This window comes from Homo sapiens, chromosome 2 (assembly GCF_000001405.40).
Source record: "Homo sapiens chromosome 2, GRCh38.p14 Primary Assembly".
In the NCBI taxonomy this organism is placed as follows: Eukaryota; Metazoa; Chordata; class Mammalia; order Primates; family Hominidae; genus Homo; species Homo sapiens.
The window spans coordinates 118,787,380-118,788,965 of NC_000002.12; positions in this window are offsets into that span (position 1 = coordinate 118,787,380).

Below are 1,586 nucleotides of genomic sequence, written 5' to 3' on the forward strand. Positions count from 1 at the left end.
TTTCCAAAGGCTGACAGAGGCAGTCCATGTCTATTTGATGATTTCCAAGTTGAGTTTTTACCTGGTCACTCTCAGGAAATGAGGTTCAGGAAGAAAAGACACATTCCCAAAGGCTGGCAAAGGCGTCATCCACTCAGGGGTGGCCACATCTCCATGTGGCTCCTTCAGTGTGGCTAGCTCTGTGCTAGGTGCTGAGGGAAGCCACAAAAGGAAGTGACAAGCAGACAGAGGTGGAGGCACTACCACCGCCCTCCCAGGGATGGGATGGGGTGGGTGAGGTTTATGCATAACAAACAATTAGGCAACAGCACACACAGTCTAAACCCAAGGGCTGGATTGAGTGGTACATTTGGGAAGAGCGGCTGCAACGCACTGCAGGGAATTGACTATGGGACTAATGTTTCTCAGAGAAAGCTCCCTGGAAGAGGGTCTTGACTCTGGTCTTGAAGGAAAAAGGAAAGGAATGAGAATGACCATTTGCTGAACATCATGTTAGATACATTATGTAATCCACCCACCCTATGCTATGAGTATTGAAATTATCCCTGTTTTTATAGATGGGGAAATTAAAACCCAGAGAGGTTAAGCAACTTACCCACGGTCCCACAGCAGAGTCAGCATTTAAACCCCAAATGTCCAGCTCCAAAGCCCATGCATTTCCACTCTTCCTTAAGATTTCTGGAAAGTGTAGGGCTTGGATTAGCAGGAGAGATTTAGGAAGTTCTCAGACAGAGAGGAAAAATAAAATAGACTAAAAAATGATGAATGCTCAATCTCTAAACATCAAGGTCGAGGTGTCTGCAAACCAACTGTAAATTTTAGAAAGACCCAATTGAAGCTTGAAGAAAATGTTGTCCATCAAGGAGAGCTTTACTTTACCTGTTGTATTATTTTCCTTGATCGGCCATGACAAATGACCACAACTGGGTGGTTAAAACTATAGAATTGTATCTCCTCATAGCTCTGGAGGCCAGAGGCTGAAATTAAGGTGTGACTGGACCATCCTCCCTCTGAAGGCTCTAAAGGAGGATCCTTCCTCGTCTTTCCCAGCTCCTGGTGCCTCCTGCTGTTCCAGAGTTTTTGGCAGCATCACTCCCATCTCTGCCCCTCTCCCCACATGATCTTCTTCCCAGTGTCACTCTGTGTCTTTTTCTCTTTTATCTGTCTCTCTCTCTCTCTTTTTTTTTTTTTTTGAGATGTAGTCTCGCTGTGTGGCCAGGCTGGAGTGCAGTGGCGCAATCTTGGCCTCTGCCTCCCGGGTTCAAGCAATTCTCCTGCCTCAGTCTCCCGAGTAGCTGGGATTACAGGCACGTGCCACCACACCCAGCTAATTTTTGTATTTTTAGTAAAGACGGAGTTTCACCATGTTGGCCAGGATGGTCTCGATCTCTTGACCTCATGATCCACCCACCAGAGCCTCCCAAAGCTGGGATTACAGGCATAAGCCACCATGCCTGCCCTCTTTTTTCTCTTATAAGAGCACTGGTAATTGGATTTAACTCTCCCACCTCCAACCCAGAATGATCTCGTCTTGAGATCTTTACCTTAATTATGCCTGCAAAGACCCTGTTTACAGATAAGGTCAC